The sequence below is a fragment of the Homo sapiens genome, chromosome 19, assembly GCF_000001405.40.
Source record: "Homo sapiens chromosome 19, GRCh38.p14 Primary Assembly".
NCBI lineage: Eukaryota > Metazoa > Chordata > Mammalia > Primates > Hominidae > Homo > Homo sapiens.
Window position 1 is genome coordinate 55,447,337 of NC_000019.10, and position 20,272 is coordinate 55,467,608.

At 58.6% G+C, this 20,272-nt stretch overlaps 2 protein-coding genes across 5 annotated transcripts, besides 3 other annotated features; both read right to left on the reverse strand.

Annotated features, from left to right (window-relative positions):
- ISOC2 (isochorismatase domain containing 2) lies at window positions 5,649-14,306 on the reverse strand. 4 transcript variants are annotated; one of them, NM_001136201.2, is made up of 6 exons: window positions 14,176-14,306; window positions 9,013-9,153; window positions 8,300-8,509; window positions 7,924-7,994; window positions 7,653-7,770; window positions 5,649-6,052 (listed from the first exon to the last, which is right to left on the reverse strand). In NM_001136201.2, exons 2-6 carry the CDS (start codon window positions 9,148-9,150, stop codon window positions 5,972-5,974), a joined length of 618 nt encoding a protein of 205 aa, NP_001129673.1. In that variant the 5' UTR covers window positions 9,151-9,153; window positions 14,176-14,306; the 3' UTR covers window positions 5,649-5,971. The 4 variants fall into 4 exon arrangements, with proteins under 4 accessions (NP_001129673.1, NP_078986.1, NP_001129674.1 ...); NM_024710.3 differs by having other exon boundaries at window positions 7,924-8,042; NM_001136202.2 differs by lacking the exon at window positions 8,300-8,509.
- Window positions 7,562-7,641: a silencer, noted in NCBI's record as "silent region_11034". NCBI's record gives its function as "represses an Ori minimal core promoter by ATAC-STARR-seq in GM12878 lymphoblastoid cells {active_cell/tissue: GM12878}" and the evidence as "EXISTENCE:reporter gene assay evidence [ECO:0000049][PMID:35858748]".
- On the reverse strand, window positions 15,665-17,415 carry C19orf85 (chromosome 19 open reading frame 85). The gene is made up of 2 exons (NM_001386794.1): window positions 17,046-17,415; window positions 15,665-16,631 (listed from the first exon to the last, which is right to left on the reverse strand). The coding sequence occupies exons 1-2, from the start codon at window positions 17,216-17,218 to the stop codon at window positions 16,136-16,138; spliced, it is 669 nt and encodes a 222-aa protein (NP_001373723.1). The 5' UTR covers window positions 17,219-17,415; the 3' UTR covers window positions 15,665-16,135.
- Window positions 15,691-16,413: an enhancer, noted in NCBI's record as "H3K4me1 hESC enhancer chr19:55974394-55975116 (GRCh37/hg19 assembly coordinates)". NCBI's record gives its function as "activates a minimal SCP1, AML or CMV promoter by ChIP-STARR-seq in naive and primed H9 embryonic stem cells {active_cell/tissue: H9 hESC(naive and primed)}" and the evidence as "EXISTENCE:reporter gene assay evidence [ECO:0000049][PMID:30033119]".
- Window positions 17,136-17,858: an enhancer, noted in NCBI's record as "OCT4-NANOG-H3K27ac-H3K4me1 hESC enhancer chr19:55975839-55976561 (GRCh37/hg19 assembly coordinates)". NCBI's record gives its function as "activates a minimal SCP1, AML or CMV promoter by ChIP-STARR-seq in naive H9 embryonic stem cells {active_cell/tissue: H9 hESC(naive)}" and the evidence as "EXISTENCE:reporter gene assay evidence [ECO:0000049][PMID:30033119]".

A 20,272-nucleotide genomic window follows, 5' to 3' on the forward strand; every position in this document is an offset into this window, starting at 1 on the left:
TGACACACTCATTTCAGATGAGGACGCTGAGGTTCCGAGAGGTCACATCATTTGCCTGAGACCCAAGGTGCCCAAAGAGTGGGGCTGGGCTTTGAACTCAGGTCTCTGAGCACTGTGACCTGTACAGCATGGATGCCTTTTTCCCCCACACAGAGACACATCCCTTCCAGAAGTGGCACATGCATGCAGCACTGCAGATTCCTTCATTCATTGAGGGCTACCATGTAGGGTTGGGCAGGTCGTGCACTGCACAAGGGGGTCTGGCTGAGAGGCTGAAATCCTGCTGGGCTCTGCTTCCCAGGGCGTGTGCCAGTGGGGCTGCATCCATTTGGGGTAAGGAGTGCCCCTTCCAAGCTCACACAAGGGTGCCATCTGCGTGCCAAACCACAGACCTGGGAGAGCGGATTGGGCAAGGTGGGGGGTGCCTTTGTCTCATCTGCACAGAGGCTGCTGTATGGGCTGGCAGTTCTGCTCACTCCGCATTCCGTGCCAAGCCTCCGCCAGGCTCCATGGACACGATTTCTCCCTCTGCTGACAGAGTCCCACTGGCTGCTCCAACTGCACGCACGTGGTGCACACACCCAAGGAGACACAGCTCTAGGCCATTGACAACTCCAGCAGGGGGACAGGGAGGGAGAGCAGGAGCAGTGGCGCACCTCCCCTCAAACTCAGCGATACACGCAGACGCACCACACACAGACCACACATACACACACACACACACCACACACACCACACATACACATACACCACACACTGACCCTCCACACCACACACGCCGCACAGACCACACATACACACACACACCACACACACACCACACACACCACACATACACACACACACCACACACTGACCCTCCACACCACACACACGCCACACAGACCACACATTACACACACACGCCACACACACACACCACACACTGACCCCCCCACACCACACACACGCCACACAGGCCACACATACACACACACACCACCCACAGACCACACAAACACACACACCACACATACACACACCACACACACACACACCACACACACCACACATACACATACACCACACACTGACCCTCCACACCACACACGCCGCAGAGACCACACATACACACACACACCACACACACACACCACACACTGACCCTCCACACCACACACACGCCACACAGACCACACATACACACACACGCCACACACACACACCACACACTGACCCCCCCACAACACACACACGCCACACAGACCACACATACACACACACACCACACACACACACCACACACACCACACATACACATACACCACACACTGACCCTCCACACCACACACGCCGCACAGACAACACATACACACACACCACACACACACACCACACACACACCACACATACACACACACCACACACTGACCCTCCACACCACACACACGCCACACAGACCACACATACACACACACACCACACACACACCACACATACACACACACACCACACACACACACCACACACTGACACACGCACACAGGCCACACATACACACACCACACACACACACACACCACACACCACACACACACACCACACACTGACCCTCCACACCACACACACGCCACACAGACCACACACACACACACACACACCACACACTGACCCCCCCACACCACACACATGCCACACAGGCCACACATACACACACACACACCACACACAGGCCACACAAACACACACCACACACACACACACACACACCACACTGACCCCCCACACCACACACACGCCACACAGACCACACACACACACCACACGCACACACACCACACACAGCTTCTCTACCCCTCCTGGTCAGGGCAGCACCTATAGGTGGGTGGAGAGAGGACGTGCACCTGCAGACACAGCGGCCCCATCCAGACACTGGATGAATTCTTCCCTGACCTCACACAAAGCTGCGCAGAGACACTGCCGAACACGCTGACACAGAGCACAGGGCACCCAGATAGTCCCAGACACAACACGAAAGGACCTGGTGGCACTCCTGTGGCCTCCTCCCGGCACACGGACGCACATACACACCACTCCACGTGGACACACAACACAAACATGGGCTTCTGCACATTTCAACCCCTACACACTGGGACCACTTACAGCTCTGGGACAGGACCAGGGACCTGCCCCACCTGGCTCCACGTGGGCCCGCGACCACACACATCACAGCTCACAGCCACGCAACCTCAGGGGCGCACACACGTGTGCAAATACACCCTCACCAGCAATGGAGAGTGTGGAAGGCGCCATGTGACACCTCCGCCCCACACCCGCCCCCACCTCGGCTCTCACGCACACAACGGCGCTCTCCTCCTCCACAGCTGAGGGGGAAGGGGCCCGGGACCCCAGGCTTCACGTCTGCATCTTGCATGCCCCGCTGAACCCCAGCTCAGGACCTGACAGACACAGATGTGGGGACACAGGTCAGAGAGCCAGCCTGGGCAGGGTCCCTGGGCTTCTGGGAGCTCCTCCCCCACCCCCCACCAGCCCCCTGCCCAGCTCTGTGCTGCACACTCCACCTGCTGCGTCCCCTCCCAACCCTCTTGGCTGGGGGCTGGGGGCCAGGATCCCAGAAGCTCAGAGAAAGGGACAGGGATACTGAAGGGGAAACAGAGGTCCTGGGAGAGGGGACAGAGAGCCAAAGGCAGGGCAGATTGTGTGTGTTTGAGAGAGAAGGGGGTACAGAGACCCAGAGAGAGGGGGACAGAGACCCAGATAGAGGGACAGGGACCCAGAGAGATGGGGGACAGAGACCCAGAGAGAGGGGGACAGAGACCCAGAGACGGGGACAGAGACCCAGAGAGAGGGGACAGAGACTCAGAGAGACAGGGGGACAGGGACCCAGAGAGATGGGGGACAGAGACCCAGAGAGAGGGGGACAGAGACCCAGAGACGGGGACAGAGACCCAGAGAGAGGGGACAGAGACTCAGAGAGACAGGGGGACAGGGACCCAGAGAGATGGGGGACAGAGACCCAGAGAGAGGGGGACAGAGACCCAGAGACGGGGACAGAGACCCAGAGAGAGGGGACAGAGACTCAGAGAGACAGGGGGACAGGGACCCAGAGAGATGGGGGACAGAGACCCAGAGAGAGGGGGACAGAGACCCAGAGACGGGGACAGAGACCCAGAAAGACAGGGGACAGAGACCCAGAGAGAGAGGGGACAGAGACCCAGAGAGAGAGGGGGACAGAGACCCAGAGAGAGAGGGGGACAGAGACCCAGAGAGAGAAGGGGACAGAGACCCAGAGACAGGGGGACAGAGACCCAGAAAGACAGGGGGACAGAGACTCAGAGAGAGAGGGAACAGAGACCCAGAGAGAGAGGGTACAGAGACCCAGAGAGAGAGGGGGACAGAGACCCAGAGAGAGAGGGGGACAGAGACCCAGAGACAGGGGGACAAAGACCCAGAGAGAGAGAGGGACACAGACCCAGAGACAGGGGGACACAGACCCAGAGACAGGGGGACAGAGACCCAGAGAGAGAGGGGGGACAGAGACCCAGAGAGGGGACAGAGACCCAGAGACAAGGGGACAGAGACCCAGAGACAGGGGGACAGAGACCCAGAGAGAGAGGGGGGACAGAGACCCAGAGAGGGGACAGAGACCCAGAGAGAGACGCAAAAGAGACGGGCGGGGGGCGGGAGACAAATGCTCAGAGGGGACGCAGCGTCCTAGAGAAGTGGGGTTCAGAGACCCTGAGAGGAGAGAGAGCCAGAGAGGGGAGGACCTGACCTACCGAGGGGACAGACGCCCGAGAGAGTCGGCGCCTCTGGGGTCTCGGGAGCTGGGCTGGAGTGGGGTCCGCAGGGGGTGGGTGGGGGGCTGAGGGGCGCAGTGGGTATGGAGAGAGAGGCCAGGGCTGGGCCGGGCGGGCGCCGGTCCGAGTGCGAACGGTGGAGCTCCTCTGGGGTTGACGGGTCGGTTTGGGGTAGGGGTGTGCGTTCAAGAGGAGGCGGGCCCGGGCGGGTGGGGAAAGCCCAGAGGGAAGGGGCGGGCTCTTGCTGGAGGGCGCGGGGACCCCAGTTCCGGGCGCCAGGGGCGGCGGGGCGGGGAGACCCTGGGGGCTGCACGGGGGCGCCGTGCCTCGCGGGCCGCGGGGAAGGCAGGGACCGAGCGAGGGAGGAGGACCCTCCCCCGACCCGCAGCCCAGGCGGCGGCCGGTCCCGGCGCCCCCGCCCAGATCCCTGCGCCGCCCGGCCCGCGTGCTTGTCTCTGGGTCTCTGCATCTTCGCGTCCCGGGGCGCCCCGTCCACGCCTCCTCCCGGACCCCCGCCTCCCCCGCCCGTCTCTGTCTCTAGCGGGGGTCTCAGCCCTCGTCTGTCGCTGCGGGTCTCCTCGCATCTCGGCGTCTCTCTCCGCGTCTCTCTCCGTCCCGGCGCCTGTGTCCCGGGCTGTCCCCAGCTCCGAGCCTCAGTTCCCTGCGCGCCTCCATTTCCCTCCTTCCCCCGCCCGGTCTCCGTCACCCCTCTGTCTCCACATCCCGCTTGTCTCTCCTTCCTGGCTCCACGTCTCTTTCTCTGTCCCAGGTTTGCTGTCGTCTGATCTCTGTCTGAGTGTCTGTGTCTCCACTCGCCCCCGACCCGGCCCCCCGAGCCCCCTCCCGGGTCCCCCACTCCCATTCAGGCCCGGGTTGGTGGGGTGGGGGGGCGCTGCGGCGGGAGCTGTGTGTTCCCAGCGCAAAATAGACTCTCGTTGCCATGGCGACGCGCGCGGGGCCTCGGAGACGCGAGGCTTCGGGCTTGGGGGGTGAGGAGGGGGGACACCTGGATCCGGAAGGCGGGGGCCGGGGGCGCCGCCGCCCGGTCCCAGGGGCTCCTCCTAGATCCCTGGGGAGAGGGATGCTGGGCGCTCCGACGCTGGGGGCCAGGGGACCGGACCTTCTGGGAGGGGTCTGGGCTCCCAGGGTCGGCGGTGGGGGCTCCGATTGCCCAACGCGGGGCGGGCTGACTGACAGCTCTGACGCCGGTGTCTCTGAGGACTCAGGGGTGGCCTCTCAGGTCTCCAAGGTTGGGGAAGAGGCAAGGGCTGCAAATCTGGAACGGAGGAGCTCTCCCTGGGGGTCTGCAGATTCCAACTCCTAGATCTGCAGAATTCTGGGAGCCCCCATGTGGGTCCCGGAACTCCTGCGTCTGGGGGAGCCGGGACTACAATGCTTTCAGCCCTTCCTTCCATCCGTCCATCCATCCTTCCATCCATCCATCCACCCATCCACATGGCTGTGTCTTCCTTCCTCCCGTCTCCATGTCCCCTTGCCTCAGTTTCCCTTCCGCACCTGGGTGCGGTCTCGCTCACCTCGCTTTCCGGATGCGGGACCCTTGGGGAGCCGGGGGTGGCGGCGTGGGGGGCGGCCGGAGGCGGCGGCGGAGCGCGTGTCTGCCGGCAGCTGGGCTGGGCGTGCGCGCGCCGGCTGGGGGCGACCCCGGCCGCAGTTCTCCTCCGAGCAGATGCGCCGCGTCCGTGCAGATGTGTCAGCCGCCAGCCCTCGCCTTTGCCTCGCGCCGAGAAGAGGCACCTCCCCCCCCCCACCTGCTGGGGACCCCGCTTTCTCCCTCCTGCAGCCCCCAGTCGCCCCCGGGATCCCCCCCAACCCAAGAATGGTTTGGTCCACAGCCACATATATGTTTATTCTGCGAGTCCGTGTCCCACAGTCTGAGACTCTTCTTCCCCTCCCCTTCCCGCCCCGTGAAGTGGCCCGGGGCCGAGCCCCGCCTCCATCTTGGCTCAGCCAATTCCCACCCAGTTTCCAGGAGTCTCATTTGCATTTCCGGGAGCAGCTGTCCAATGGGAAGGCAGCACCCTGCCCCCCCCACAAGGGGGCGGCACTCCTGGTGGATCGCACCACTCTTGGGATCCAGGGATGGGGGGAACGGGCTTCCACTGAGGTCCGGGTGACAGGAGGGTGGTCTTCCCTCAAGGCAGGGTTGGAGTTCAGTGGAGGAGGGAGTTCTGGCCTTGGAAGAGGCCCAGCAGTCCGCTGTCTGGGGCGGGCTCCTTGATGAGTTTCTGGATCTGTAAGGGCAGGGGGCGATGGGTCAGGAAGCGTCTAGGGTCCCGATCTCCATGGATGACAAATCTGAGGGACACCTCTCCGTCTTCATCTCTCGGACCTTCTGGCTAGCAGCTGCCCAAGACAACACTCCCTCTTCTCAAGACTTTTCCTGGGGCCTCCCTTTCATTACACGTGACTGGTTGAGCTCCTCACTGCCTGCCATCTTGGTGTGCTTTGCGGGCTTGGACCACTAAGGGTGGACAGCTCTGTGCTGGGGCTTCCTGTCTACACCTTCCTCTTCTTAAGTAACCTCATTTCTCCCATCCCTCTTCTGGGCCCTCAGCTCACAAATCCAGCCTGGACTTTGCCCCTGAACTCGACTCATCTATCTAACTGCCTCTTAGATAGACATGAGCAACCAACCGCATTTCATCCATCAGCAAGTCCCAGCAAGTTTATCTCCAGAAAATAAAATAAATAAATAAATAAATAAACAACAACAACAACAAAAAAGCCTGCATCCCCCCTGCCTCATCACCGCTTGCCTGGGCGCCCAAATTAACCTCCTTACTGACAGGTCTCCCTCCTCCCCTCTATGCCACACTCCCTAATCCACTGGTCACACAGGGCCAGAAAGAACTTTGTAAACTGCCGATCTGATATGGCCAGCTCCCCTGCATCAAACCCTGATGGCTGCCCGTGGCTGAAATCTCAAACCTCTGGGCTCTGACTCCTGCGTGAAGACAGGCTGCTGGCTCCTCCCGCGTGGTGCTCACCCTGGCCTGCTACAGCTCCTCAAAGAAAGCTCAGTCCCCCTCCCCTGGGAACACTGTGAGTGCCTGATGCCCCCTTCCCCGGCAGCTCAGAATTCAGGGCCACCTCTGCCACTCTTGCTCATCCCTCTGCAACTCCTGCCCCAGCTGGGGGTCACAATGTGTCACTGAACATGGATTGCTGCAGACTCCAGGGCTCACCACAGTGGCTGGCACAGAGTGGGTGCTCGGTGAATGTCCCACAGAGCTGAACTAGAAGGAAGGTAAGGAGCAGACCTGGGAGGGCCTGGGAATGTCAAGGTCTGGGGCCTCTCCAGCATCCTGAGGGCCAATGGCTTGAAGCAGGGGGGCCCAGTACCTGGCTGACCCCGGTAGCAGGGTGGCCAGTGGAGTCTGAGAAACTGGAGGAGGGGCACCCGGGCCGGAAGGGGCAGAGGCGGAGGAGATGGAGAGTTGGAGATGGGTGTGGACGGGTCAAGGGGCTTCTATCTAGAGGGTCTCTGCTGACCTGTTCTTCCCCAGTGTCCGCCTGGTCACTCCCTCCTTCAGTTCATTCTAAAGTCACCTGCTCCAGGATGCCCCCCAGACCCTCCAATACAAACCCCCTCCTCTGTGCCCTGACCCTCTGGATTGCCTCCCCCATTTTATTGTTCTCTGTGGCCCTTATGGTCCATCTGTGGGCTCCTTTCATGGATTTATGGCAGTGACAGTGACCAGCAGCCTCCCCTCCAAGAACCTGGCTCCCCCTGGAGGCGGCAGCCTGCTGGTGCCGAGATGTATTCTCAGAGCCCAAAGACAAGACCTTTGACAGATGCAGGGGAGGTGGGGGCGGCCAGGCGGGCATTACCTCCTTGAACTGGGGGTGGACGGCATCGCCCACAAGCTGCAGAATGAGCCCTTCGCTGGTGGAGAGGAAGGCACCACTCTGTCTCATGCGGGCCAGAGCCACCAGCCGGTCCACCTGGCTGTGAGTGGGAGGGAGGGAGGGAAGGTTGGTGTGGACGCCGCAGTCTGGACACCCAGACACGCAGGCACCCTGGTGGGAATGCCGCCTGTGGCCCTTCCTGGGAGCCCCTGATGGCCCCCACGTGCACCCACCCAGGCAGGGGCCCTCTCACCTGCGTGAGGAGCAGGCGTCCACCACCACATGGACCTGCAGCCCCCGGTCTAGGAGGTCCAGGGTCGTGTTCTGTGGGTAGAGAGAGGTCAGGGCCAACCCCGGATAAGAACGGGGGTCCTGGGTAAGGAATTGGGGATGGTGAGTCAGAATTAGGGGCCCAGAATGGGGAGGAGGGAGGCTCGGATCAGAGGAAGGGGCCCCCAGGTCAGGAGGGGATCCAAGATAGGATGGGGCCCACAGGTGAGGAGAGAGGGCCCAGGTCAGGATGGGGGTCCTGCAGGGAAGTGGAGGTTTCTGGTCAGGGAAGGAGGTTCTATTTAGGATGGGGGTCCCAGGTTAGAACGAGGGACCCCTGGGGTCAGTCAGCATCTCACCAAGATGCAGGCCTGTGCCTCAATGCCACAGAGCAGCACAGAGCGCAGCTGGGGCCGACTGTCCAGCTCCTGCTGCAGGGCAGGCACCATGCTGAAGCAGGTCTTGGCCAGCGGCCGAAGGCCCTCAGTCCCCAGCTCGGGCACCGTGGGGCCCAGGCCTTGTGGGTACTGCTCCGTCAGCATGACTGGCACCTCAAGCAGCCGGGCCACCTGTGCCAGTGATGGGGAAGAAAGGTCAGGGTCTGAGGGAGGAGGGGCTGGGCCTGGACTCCTGGGTCTGAGGGAGGAGGGGCTGGGCCTGGACTCCTGGGTCTGAGGGAGGAGGGGCTGGGGGTCTGGACTCCTGGGTGTGAGGGAGGAGGGGCTATGCCTGGACTCCTGAGTCTGAGGGAGGAGGAGCTGGGCCTGGACTCCTGCGTCTGAGGGAAGAGGAAGTGGGCCTGGATCCCTGGGTCTGAAGGAAGAGGAGTTGGGCCTGGACGCCTGGGTCTGAGGGTGGAGGGCTGAGCCTGGATCCTGGGTCTGAGGGTGGAGGGCTGAGCCTGGATCCTGGATCTGAGGGTGGAGGGCTGAGCCTGGATCCTGGGTCTGAGGGTGGAGGGCTGAGCCTGGATCCTGGGTCTGAGGGTGGAGGGCTGAGCCTGGATCCTGGGTCTGAGGGTGGAGGGCTGAGCCTGGATCCTGGGTCTGAGGGTGGGGGGCTGAGGTCATACCTTGAGCATGCGGGCAGCCACTGAGACGATCTGTGGGAAGTAGGCGATGTTGTGGCGGAACTTCTCCTGCATGTCACACAGGAACAGGACAGAGGATCCTGGGAGGACTCGGCCCAGGCTGGGCCTGGCAGCCGCCATTTTCTGGGGGTGGGCAGAGGGACGGTGGGTCAGGCCCGAGGGCTCCTCTCAGTGTCTCCAGCTGGCGTCCAGGTCCTCACACTCAGAGCCTGGCAGGGCCCGGGGCACCTTGCCAACCTTCTTCCCACCTCAAGGTCTCTGTGTCTGCTGTTCCCCGGGCCTAGAATGGGCTTCTTTCTTATTTCTGTCCTATTCGGCAGGGAGGTGACTTCCTTGGGAAGCCTTCTGGGCCACATCCACACGTGGCTCCGGGTGTCCCTCTCCTGGTCCCTGTGTTCTCCTTGCTGAGGACTGTGCACAACGTCAAGGAGTGCTTCATGATCCCGGTTACCATCCGCCCCGGTTACCATCCACCCCAGTTACTATCAGTCCCGGTTACCATCAGCCTCAGTTACCATCTGCCCTGGTTACCATCCACCCCAGTCACCATCCGCCCTGGTCACCATCAGCCCCGGTTACTATCAGATCCCGGTTACATCAGCCCCGGTTACTGTCAGCCCTGGTTACCATCAGCCCCAAAACGGAGGCTCTGCTGGGCGTCCTCCTGTGTTGGGCCAGCCCACTCCCCAGGGCCTCCTGAATGAAGGGTCCACCCTGATCCTCACCCTGCTCCAAGAGGAAACTGAGGCCATATTCTTCAGCCATAGGAAAGAAGGGGGACCCTGCACAGGCCACAACCTGGATAGATCTCAACACAAAGACCACGGAGCGTGCGATCCCGTTTTCCTGAAATGCCCAGAACAGGCAAATCCACAGACAGAAAGCAGATGGGGCCGGGCGCAGTGGCTCACGCCTATAATCCCAGCACTTTGGGAGGCTGAGGTGGGCGGATCAGCTGAGGTCAGTTCAAGACCAGCCTGGCTAACATGGCGAAACCCTGTCTCTACTAAAAATACAAAAATTAGCCAGGCAGTGGCGGGTGCCTGTAACCCAGCTGCTCGGGAGGCTGAGGCAGGAGAATCGCTTGAAGCCCAGGAGGCAGAGGTTGTAGTGAGCCGAGATCACACCACTGCACTCCAGCCTGGGTGACTGAGCAAGACTCTGTCTCAAAAAAAAAAGAGACTGGGCTTGGTGGCACACGCCTGTAATCCCAGGACTTTGGGAGGCCGAGGCGGGCGGATCATCTGAGGCCAGGGGTTTGAGACCAGCCTGGCCAACATGGTGAAACCCCATATCTACTAAAAATACCAAAAATCAGCCAGGCACGGTGGCACGCACCTGTTGTCCCAGCTACTTGGGAGGCTGAGGCAGGAGAATCACTTGAACCTGGGAGGCGGAGGTTGCAGTGAGCAGAGATAGCACCACTGCCAGTCCAGCCTGGACAATAAGAGCAAAACTCCATCTCAAAAAAAAAAAAAAAAGAGAAAGAAAGCAGATGATTGGCTGCCAGGGGCTGTGGCCGGGAGGAATTCAGGTTGACTGCTGGGGGGTGTAGTTTTCAGTTTGGGATGGTGAAAATGCTCTGGGACTTGGTGGTGGCGGCTGCAGAACAGCATGACTATGAATGCCACTCCACTGCATTTTCAAATGGCTGAAAGGGTAAGTTTTATGTTAAGTGCATTTTACCACAATTAAAAAAAAAAAAGAAAAGAAAGAAAAGAAGAGAAAGAAAAAAAGGACAGGCTGGTGAAGCCACCTGGCCAGCAATTCTTTTGCAGGGGAGGAAACCTCGACCCAGAGGGCCCGTTAACCTGCCCTAAGTCCTGCAGCCATACAGGGCACACCTGACTTCCACTCGGTCAGAGCGTCTACGCTGTCAGAGCGTCTACACCGCAGGGGCCCTGAATCAGCACGTCTTGGCCTACGTCCCTGGGAGGCTTGTGCTTTTGGGTCTCCGAGTTTGCTGCACAAGTGAGGGTTTGGGCTGGGCTTTTGTCTGCAGCTCTCTCCCCGTCTGTGTGTACAATTTGTTTGTACTTAACTCATTTATTCATTAATTCACCAGGGAAATGGGAGACCCTGGAGGCTCATTGGAGGCAAGACAGAAGGTGTTCTGGGAAGCTGAGGGAGGCAGGGCACTCAACAAGAAGCTGCTATTTTCTTTTCTTTTTTTTTTTTTTGAGATGGAGTCTTGCTCTGTCACCCAGGCTGGAGTGTAGTGGCGCGATCTTGGCTCACTGCAAGCTCTGCCTCCCAGGTTCAAGGATTCTCCTGCCTCAGTCTCCCAAGTAGCTGGGATTACAGGCTTGTGCCACCATGCCTGGCTAATTTTTGTATTTTTAGTAGAGATGGGGTTTCACCATGTTGGCCAGGCTGGTCTTGAACTCCTGACCTCGTGATCCACCCGCCTCAGTCTCCCAAAGTGCTGGTGATTACAGGTGTGAGCCACCGCACCTGGCCTTGAGCTGCTATTTTCAAAGCTGGGTAGTTAGGACACTGTTGTTCCTTGTCTTTCTTTCTCTCTCTCGTCCTGGCCTCAAGCAACCCTCCTGCCTTGGCCTCCCTGTACTATTTTTTCTTTTTGAGACAGGGTCTCATAGTGTCACCCAGGTTGGAGTACAGTGGCGCAATCATAGCTCACTGCATCCTTAACCTCCTGGGCTCAAGTGATCATCCCACCTCAGCCTCCCAAGTAGCTAGAGCTACAGGTGTATGCCACCACACCTGGCTAATTTTTGTATTTTTATATTTTTAGAGACAGGGTCTTCCTATGTTGCCCAGGCTGGTCTCGAACTCCTGGGTTCAAGCGAACCTCCCGCCTCAGCCTTGCAACATGCTGGGATTACAAGCGTGAGCCACCGCGCCTGGCCTATTATTCTTTGAACATAATCCATCTACCATAGCAAATGTTTTCTATGTGCACCATATCTCAAGTTTAAAAACGAATAAATGGTTAAAATGGTCAATTTTATGTTGTGCAAATTTTATCTCATTAAATAAAATTGAATGGAAACTCCCTCTGAAACAAAACCACAGTGAATTAATCCCATAATTACAACTGTGATAAGTGGGATTTGGAGGGAGTCAGATACAGCTTGGCAGGGGCTGCAGTGTTCTCCTAGAGAAACTGACGACAGAAAAATGATCTTTTCACAAAACACAAAGCTATTACTCCCCTGTCTCAAACTGTCCCCTGACCCCCGTGGATTCTCTCTGTCCTCAGGACTAAGATGCAGGCGCCCCTTTCCCCCCCGCCCCGCACTGCTCTGAAGACCCTCCAGCCTCAGCCCAGCCACTCCCTCCTCTCAAACAGCCCTTGCGGTTTCCTCCCCATGGAGTGACCCTCTCACGGCCACTCATGTGCTAACTCTTCCTCCCCTGTGCAGGAGGCGGGACCTGGACACCCGGGCCCCAAGGGATGGTTCTGAGGGAACCAGGAGCTGGAGAGCTGACAGGTGGGTCACAAGGGCCCTGGAGTCTCTCTGCTGAGGGCAGTGAGGAGCCATGGAGGGGCAGATCTGGGGGCCAGCATGTCCAAAAGCCTAGGACAGGCATGTGGAGCACCCAGGAACTCCCCTCTGGCCTGGTAGGAGTGTGGGTCACAACAACTCCTAGGGACAGCCGAGCAGCTGCATTTCTCAAAATGATGGATACACAAACCCTCTGACCTCAAAAGCTGCTCCTAAGCATTTATCCTACAGACATTCATGTGAAACGACACAGGATTATTCATTACAGGACTCTTCCCCAGAGCAAAGGAGCAGAAGTTAAGTATCAATGTCCACAATGAGGGTACTGGTTACGTAAGTCATGCCATAACTATACTCTGTTATTCCTCGCAGCCAGAAAAAATTACGAGGAAGCTCTTTAAGTAACAATACGAAAACATGTTTGAGAGAAGTGAAAAAGAAGCAGAACAGTGTGTATGGAATGCTCCTTTTTGTGCCAAAGAAAAAAGGGAGAGGAAAATGTGTCTGTGTTGCCTATATCTATATCTGCTATCTCTGGCAAACAAGCAAGAAACGGGAGACTCAGGCGGGTGAACCAGGCACCGGGGAAGTCTGTAGGAGCCTTTTCACTGGGTCCTATTCTGTTTCTTCTGAATTCTGGACAATGTGCAACAAGTTGTCTAGTCAATACTATATACAATAAAGGGTTGGCATAAAGCCAAAACCCGGCAAAACTGATCTATGGCGTCAGAAGCCAGGACAGTGACTGCCCTTGGACCACAGTGATGGAAACGACGACGGCGGGAGATCCTGGGATGTGGCGCATGTTTGACTTTTTTCTTTGGATACTTGTTTACACCAGGGTGCTCCCTTTATAAATATTTATTTAAGCTGTGTATTTGCAAACCGTTCGATTTTCTGCGTTTGTGGTATTATTCCAGAAAAAGTGTTCAAAATGCAAAATACAAAGATGGCTTCAGGCCCCCGCCGTGCGGTTGAACTGGAGGCAAAAGGCCAGAGAGCAGGAGGTCGGCGCTGGGGCCCAGTGGGACAGGGGAGAGTCAGGAAGGGGCAGCTGGGACGGTGGGGAAAGTCGGGGAGAAAGGCCCCCAGTTTCTGGTCGAGCGAGGGGCATGATCTGAAGATTCATAGGGGATCCCGGGGAGGGGAACTGGTTTTTGGGAGATGAAAAATTGGGGTGAGGGTGGGTGTGTGAGAGAGAGAGATGTGAAGGGGAGGTCTGGGCTGGAGAGGGTTGGGCGTGTCCTGCGGAACGAGGAGAGATTCAGCCTGGGTGGAGGGTACCCAAGGCCAAAGGGGGCGTGGCTGGAGGTGGGCGGCAACAGGGGGCGGGGTAGGGCCGTTGATTTCCCCACCCGGTCTCGGAAACCCGGCCTTGGAGCCCGGACTTCCTGGCTGTGTGACCTTGGGCAAGTTTCTCTTTGTCTTAGCCTCAGTTTTCTCGTCGGAGAAATGGGGATTAAACCTGCCCACCCCCCAGCGCTGTTACAGAGGCGGCAGGCGCGACCCGGGGACGCTTCCAATCTCTGGCCAGCCAATTCTGGCGGGGCCAGGTGGAGTCCTCCTTCTGGTCCTGTGACCTTGGCCCGGGACGCCCAGGCAGAGCCTCAGTTTCCCCATCTGCTAGGCGGTAAGGTCGGTCTCCAAATAGCGCCAGCAGCGAGAGAGGACTTACCCGGAAGGTGCCGGGTTCGAGCCCGGAACGGCCCCTCTGCAGGTGAGGCGGGGGCACCCTCACCTCTCGGCTCTCGGACGGCCACCGCTGAGGCCTCTTGCGGGCTTCCCAGGGCTGGTTACCGTTTCGTTAGGGCTGGACACGTGGCCCACCCCCTGCACCGTCCGTTTTCCGCCCACTTGGGCCCAGCCGTCCAATCGACACTCATCATGCTCTGCCTCGCCGCTCTCTCCGGCCAATCCGCATGTGCCACTGCCTCTGCCCGCAATCGGCGCTCACCAACTCACCCCGCCCCCTGCCTCTCAACCAATCCGCATATGCAGCTGCTTTGCTCCCGCCCCAGGGGGGGCGGTGCCGGCAAGGCTGTCAGTCTCAAGAAAATGATTAGCTCGCAAAGGCGCCGTGGGGGCGGGGCAGCAGGTCGTTCTGCCAATGGAGAGCCGTAGAGGGCGTGAGTGGCGGCCGACGGGGCGGAGTCGCGCGGTGGTCTCCGAAGGCTCAGACTCTGGCTGGAGAGAGGGCGTCTCGGCCGGCCCCATTGCACAGAGCAGACCGCCGAGGCCGGGAGAGAGAGAGAGGGGTCTTACCTAGAGTAGAGGCATGTCTGCGGTTCGAAACCTGGCCCTCTCTCAAGAAACGGAGGCTTACAAAGATACCCAAGCACTTTCCAGGAAGGGGCTGGCTGAGGGAGCGATCAAGTGAGGAATTTGACGCCCCCCTGTCCTTTGCGCTCTGTGCTGCCTCAGTTTCCCCATCTGTACAGCACCTGCCTCCTCGGGTGGTGTTTAGAATAATTTAGACTCTGTGCTTGGAAATGGAGGTTGAGAGAAAGAGAGAATTTCCTATCTGTCTTGGAATAAATCCAAACTCCTCCCAATTCATGGTCGGCCTTCCTGGTCCGTGCAGACCTCGCCTCTCACCACTCCCCCTGCTCACTCCGCTCCAGCCACAGGGGTCTCCTCTTGCTCTTCCCTCAATGTCCCACCGCAGGGCCTTTGCACGTGTGCTGCCTCAGCCTGGAATCCTAGGACTCCCCATGGCCCAACCTTCCAGGCTTTCAAAGCCTTTCCTGACCACCTGGTGTCAGGTAGCCCTTCCATCAGGTCGCTGTTTTTAATTTTTTTGAAACATCAAAAAAAAGAAAAAAATTGCTCTATCACCCAGGCTGGAGTACCATGGTACGATCACAGCTTGCTGCAGCCTCAACCTCCCGGGCTCAAGCGATCCTCCCACCTCAGCCTCCTGAGTAGCTGGGACCACAGGTATGCGCCACCACACCTGACTAATTTTTTAATTTTTTTGTAAAGATGGAGGTCTCACTCTGTTGCCCAGGCTGGTTTTGAACTCCTGGGCTCAAGTGATCCGCCTGCCTTGGCCTCCCAGAGTGCTGCGATTACAGGTGTGAGCCGCCGCACCCGGCCTTGTGTTTTATTTTCTTTTCAGCACTAACTCCAATCTGAATTGGAAATGAATCTTGCTTTTTGAAAAATGCATGGATATACTCTTTTATTGTCTGTTCCCCGCCAAAACACACACATGCACACAGAACAGGGAGCTCCCTGAGGCAGGGGTCCCGTCTGCCTCGTTCACAGCTGAATCCTCAAGTCCTAGACCTGGGCCTGGCCCATAGTAGGCGCTCGATACATCTTTGGGAATAAATGACAGGAGAGCAGACATTAGGCAGAGGTGAGCCTGGGTGAGAGTGAGGGGTGGATGCCCAGATGGGGCTAGGCAGAAGGAAGGGGGAAGGCAGGAAAGCAAGAAGAGGTGGAGGTGGGGCCCCTGGGCCCAGGAGGAGACCCCTGAGGCAGTGGTCTGAAGTGGGGGTCTGGGTTGGTTTATTTTCCCAGGGGCTGCCAGGAAGGGAGTGGACAGGTTGGGGGCTCCTGGAGAGGGCTGTAGAGCCGTCGTGGAGGGGCCTCTGGCTTGTCCTGGGTTCTGGGCTGGGTTGTGATTGGCCTCATGGGGAGCTGGTCCCCCAACCCTCGGGGATCCCCTGAGAATCCCAGGCACGAGGCACCTCCCAGCAGTCCACCCAACCCCAGTCGGGAGCCACGAGATCAGCCTCTTCCCCCAGGGCATGCTGGGGAAGGGGCAGGGGGCCGCAGAAATGTGGGACCTGCCTCAGGTCCAGCTGGCCCAGGTCGCGATGGGACAGACCCGGCGCTGGCAGGGGAGCATCAGAACCAGAGGAGGGGTCCCATGGCATTGAGGCACACTCTGGGGTGAGCGCAATGTTGTCAAAGAGGTCGAGGGTAGAGGTGTCCAGGGCAGCGAGACTCAGGCTGGCGCTGGCATGGGGAGCCTCAGTGGGGGCCACAGCACAGGCCACTCCCAGGAAGGGGGATGGAGGCGGTGGGGGTGGCTTTTGGAGCGAGGGTCTCTGGGGAGGTGCCTCCTGGGACAGGATGGAGAGGGCCAGGCGCTGGGTGGCAGCCTCAATCTTGGTGAACTGCCTGTAAAGACAGATGTGAGCAGGCTGGTCTCTAACGCCTGAACTCAAGCGATCCTCCTGCCTCGGCCTTTCAAGGTGCTGGGATTGCAGGCTTGAGCCACCACCCCCGGCCAGCATATTTGCAAGGGTCACCTATGTGGTCGCATCACACCGTGCTAGTTATTTATTTTGGTGATTCCTGACCGTCCGCCACCCCCATGAAAACACAACCTCCACGACAGCAAGGAACTTTATCTGCTTTGCTAACTGGCCTGGCACACAGTAGGCACTCAATAAATGCACGTTGACTGTTGCTGGCATCCAGCCCTGGGGGCTGCTCCTCTCTGTCTGTACCTGGTCTCCCCCAGCCAAGGGTGCTGGTTGCTCCTTCCCCTCTTCCCCGTCCCGTGCCCACCTTCCCCACCAGCCCCCTCACCTGCAGATCTGGTTGTGCAGAAACCTTCTGTGGTTGGGCCGCCTCTTGGGGGGCCGGGTGCGCCGGGGCTGCAGGGCCCGCAGCATGTGGGCGGCCGCCCCGCTCACAAAGGCACACAGCTCCCGGGGGCCGGGCTCGGAGACCCCAGGGCCTTCGGGGACCCCGGGGTGCATGGCCAGGGTGGTCTGGAGTAACTCCCCACAATATTGCTGACCAAAGCACCCCCCAAATCTGTGAGCAGGGAGGGGCAGGGGACTCTGGAGGCCCAGGCACCCCGGGCTGGGGAGGAGGCAGGGCTGGGAATTGGGCCAAGGCCTCCCCACTGTGCCCTAACCCTGTCCCCACCTCCCAGGAGCCCGACCTGAAGTCTGAGGGAGCGGCAGGTGGGGGCTAATATAGGAAGGCAGGGAACAGGGAGGGGAGGGGGCTTTCTGGGGCCCTCTAAGTGCCCAATTAGCGCATAGTTGGACCTGGGATATGGACCTGGCGTGCGTCGGCGGGGGGCAGAGAATGGTGCCTGGAGATGGCCAATTAAGGGAACAAAGGCCTCGTTCGGGAGGCGAGGCCGCCAGTAAGTCAAATGCAGCGATTGAGCGTGGAGGACCCTTAATTGGAGCCGTGGGGAGGGGGCTGGGAGGGAGGGGAGCTGGGCTGCATCTGCCCACCCACCCTCAGACACACCTGTGCCTCCCTCCCTCTGCTCAGCCCAGCACCTTAGGAGGGGAAACCGAGGCTCCCAAAGGGGCTGGTGCGGGCCGAGGTCTCCAGCCAGCAGGAGGGGTTGGCTCCTGGAGGGTCACCCCCGAAATCCTGGGGCTCATAGAATCCTGAGCAGCAGAGTGAGGGAGGAGAGGGGGAAGGGTGTGGCAGGACGGGAGGGGACGGGAGAACAGGGCGCAGTCTCCCCCAGGGTGTTTTATTGAGGCACTGGGACCCCTGGTGTCTGTGGGAGGCAGAGGTTGGGCCGGGTCCCCTTGTTTCTGGAAGGGTGTTGGCCGGAGCGGGGACCCTGGGTCTCAGGTTGGGTAGGGGAGCACCGGGTGTGACAGCCTCAGTCTCTGCTTGGACCCCCACCCTCGGGGGTCTGCTCTGGGAAGCCAGGATGTTTCCCGAAATTGATGTAACAAATGACCACGGCTCAGTACCTAGAACCGCACGCGCTGATTCTCCTGCCTGAAGCAGGGATTTAAACCTGACATCATGAGTTTGCTTCCCAGGCCCGCTCACTGGCCAGCAGCACTATGGGCAAGGTCAGCAGTTGAGGTCCTACCAGGCCTAGGGTGGGGGCCAGCAGGCAGGTGGGGGCATATTGGGAGCTGGGGCTGAGTGCAGCCAGTGATGTTGCCAGAGGTCCAGTTTCCTGTCAGCAGGACATGGTGAGACCAGCTGCAGTAGGACAGACAGACACCCAGTGCCCTCACCAGCCATGGCACGTACACGTTGACTGCTACCCCTGCCATGCTCAACACTACCACTGTGCTGAACCACTGCACAGGTGGGGCTGCTGGGCCTGGTGTGGCTGGTGTCTGTGTTGGGGACACCATTGGCCTCCCATGTTTCTCTCGGGTGTCTCCAAGGGTCTCCAGCCTCCTAGACAGCCTCTTGTACTCTGCCCCTTGGTCCCTCTGCCTGCCAGCTGTCTGTGACTCACACTAGCCCCATTGCTATCTCTCCATCTCGCCCACCCTTGCTCGTTCCTCTTCTGCTCCTCCTGGCTTTCTGTCCATCCCTGGGTTATCCACAATTCTCTCAACTATCATCTATCTATCACCTGCCTATCTATGGATCTATCATCTATGTATGTGTGTATGTATGTATATATCTATTTTTAGAGACAGAGTCTGGCTCTGCCACCCAGGATGCACTGCAGTGGTGTGATCCTGGCTCACTGCAGCCTTGACCTCTTGGGCTCAAGGGGTCTTTCCACCTCAGCCTCCTGAGAAGCTAGGATTACAGGCACCTGCCACCATGCTTGGCTAATTTTTTTCTTTTGTAGAGATGGGGTCTCACTATGTTGCCCAGGCTGGTCTCAAACTTCTGGGTTCAAGTGATTCTCCTGCCTTGACCTCCCAAAGTGCTGCGGTCACAGGCGAGAGCCACCGTGCCCAGCCTCTCTCCTCTGTATTGTCTCTCTGACTTCATCTCTCCCATTTGTGTTCCGGTTCCTCTCCCTGTCTCTGTCTCTTTCACTGTCTCTGGAGTTTCTCTCAGTGTTTATGTTTTAGACTCTGAATGCTCTTCACTGCCTGTCTCTCAGCTTTTCTGTTTCTGTCTCTCTGTCTTCCCCAGGGCATGGTGTGTGTGTGTGTGTGTGTGTGTGTTTGTGCACGTGTGTGATTGTTACTGGATGGTACTGTGCAGTTCCAGTCTCCTGGTGTCCAAAACAAAGAATTGGATGAGACGCGCACAGACAGCAAAGGAAAGGAGCAAACGTTTATGAAGCACAGTATTCCACTCTCAGAGGGGAGAGCGGACTGAGCTCTCCGAGATGAGATCAGCCCCAGTTTGTTACATTTCATGGCCTTTTTTTTTTAAAGGACTCTTTTTAAATTTTTTTTTTATTTTTTATTTTTGAGATGGAGTCTTGCTCTGTCGCCCAGGCTGGAGTGCAGTGGTGCGATCTCAGCTCACTGCAACCTCCGCCTCCCGGGTTCAAGTGATTCTCCTGCTTCTACCTCTAGAGTAGCTGGGATCACAGGCGTGTACCACCATGCCCGGCGAACTTTTGTGTGTTTTTAGTAGAGGTGGGGTTTCACCATGTTGGCCAGGCTGGTCTCGAACTCCTGACCTCAAATGATCCGCCCGCCTCGGCCTCCCAAAGTGCCGGGATTACAGGCGTGAGCCACCGCGCCCGGCCGTACATTTCATGGCCTTTTATATGTTTTTCATCACTTCCTTAACCTCACTTTATCTCTTGTAAGTTAGTTGCTCATCCTTGCCTAATCTTTCTTTATCTCTTTTGACCAAATTGCTCATCTTTAGCTTTATTTTTCGTGGCCAAACTGCTACTGCAAGTCCTTCTGGCTTATTTTCCTTATCCTGCATGTTCCAACTCACTGCTTCCTCCCTTATTTCGCATGTCCTGCTTCTGCCATTTGACACGTTTTGCTTCTGCTTAAGCTAACCTATGTCCAACGGTCCCCTTCGCCCCCCGAATTTCTCTGCTATTCTCCTGCCTCAAGATGTCCGTGAGTCTGGTTCACGCCTGTGGTATTGGGGGTGGCCTG

Excerpts from the sequence above, each read along its gene's own strand:
- ISOC2 (NM_024710.3), bottom strand. The coding sequence starts at position 9,150 with ATGGCGGCTGCCAGGCCCAGCCTGGGCCGAGTCCTCCCAGGATCCTCT. Across the intron at positions 8,043-8,299 it reads AGGCACAGGCCTGCATCTTG|GACCCCCGTTCTTATCCGGG; the intron begins GTGAGATGCTGA and ends TTCCTTACCCAG. Across the intron at positions 7,771-7,923 it reads GACGCCTGCTCCTCACGCAG|CCAGGTGGACCGGCTGGTGG; the intron begins GTGAGAGGGCCC and ends TCCCACTCACAG.
- C19orf85 (NM_001386794.1), bottom strand. The coding sequence starts at position 17,218 with ATGCACCCCGGGGTCCCCGAAGGCCCTGGGGTCTCCGAGCCCGGCCCC. Across the intron at positions 16,632-17,045 it reads CTGCACAACCAGATCTGCAG|GCAGTTCACCAAGATTGAGG; the intron begins GTGAGGGGGCTG and ends CTGTCTTTACAG.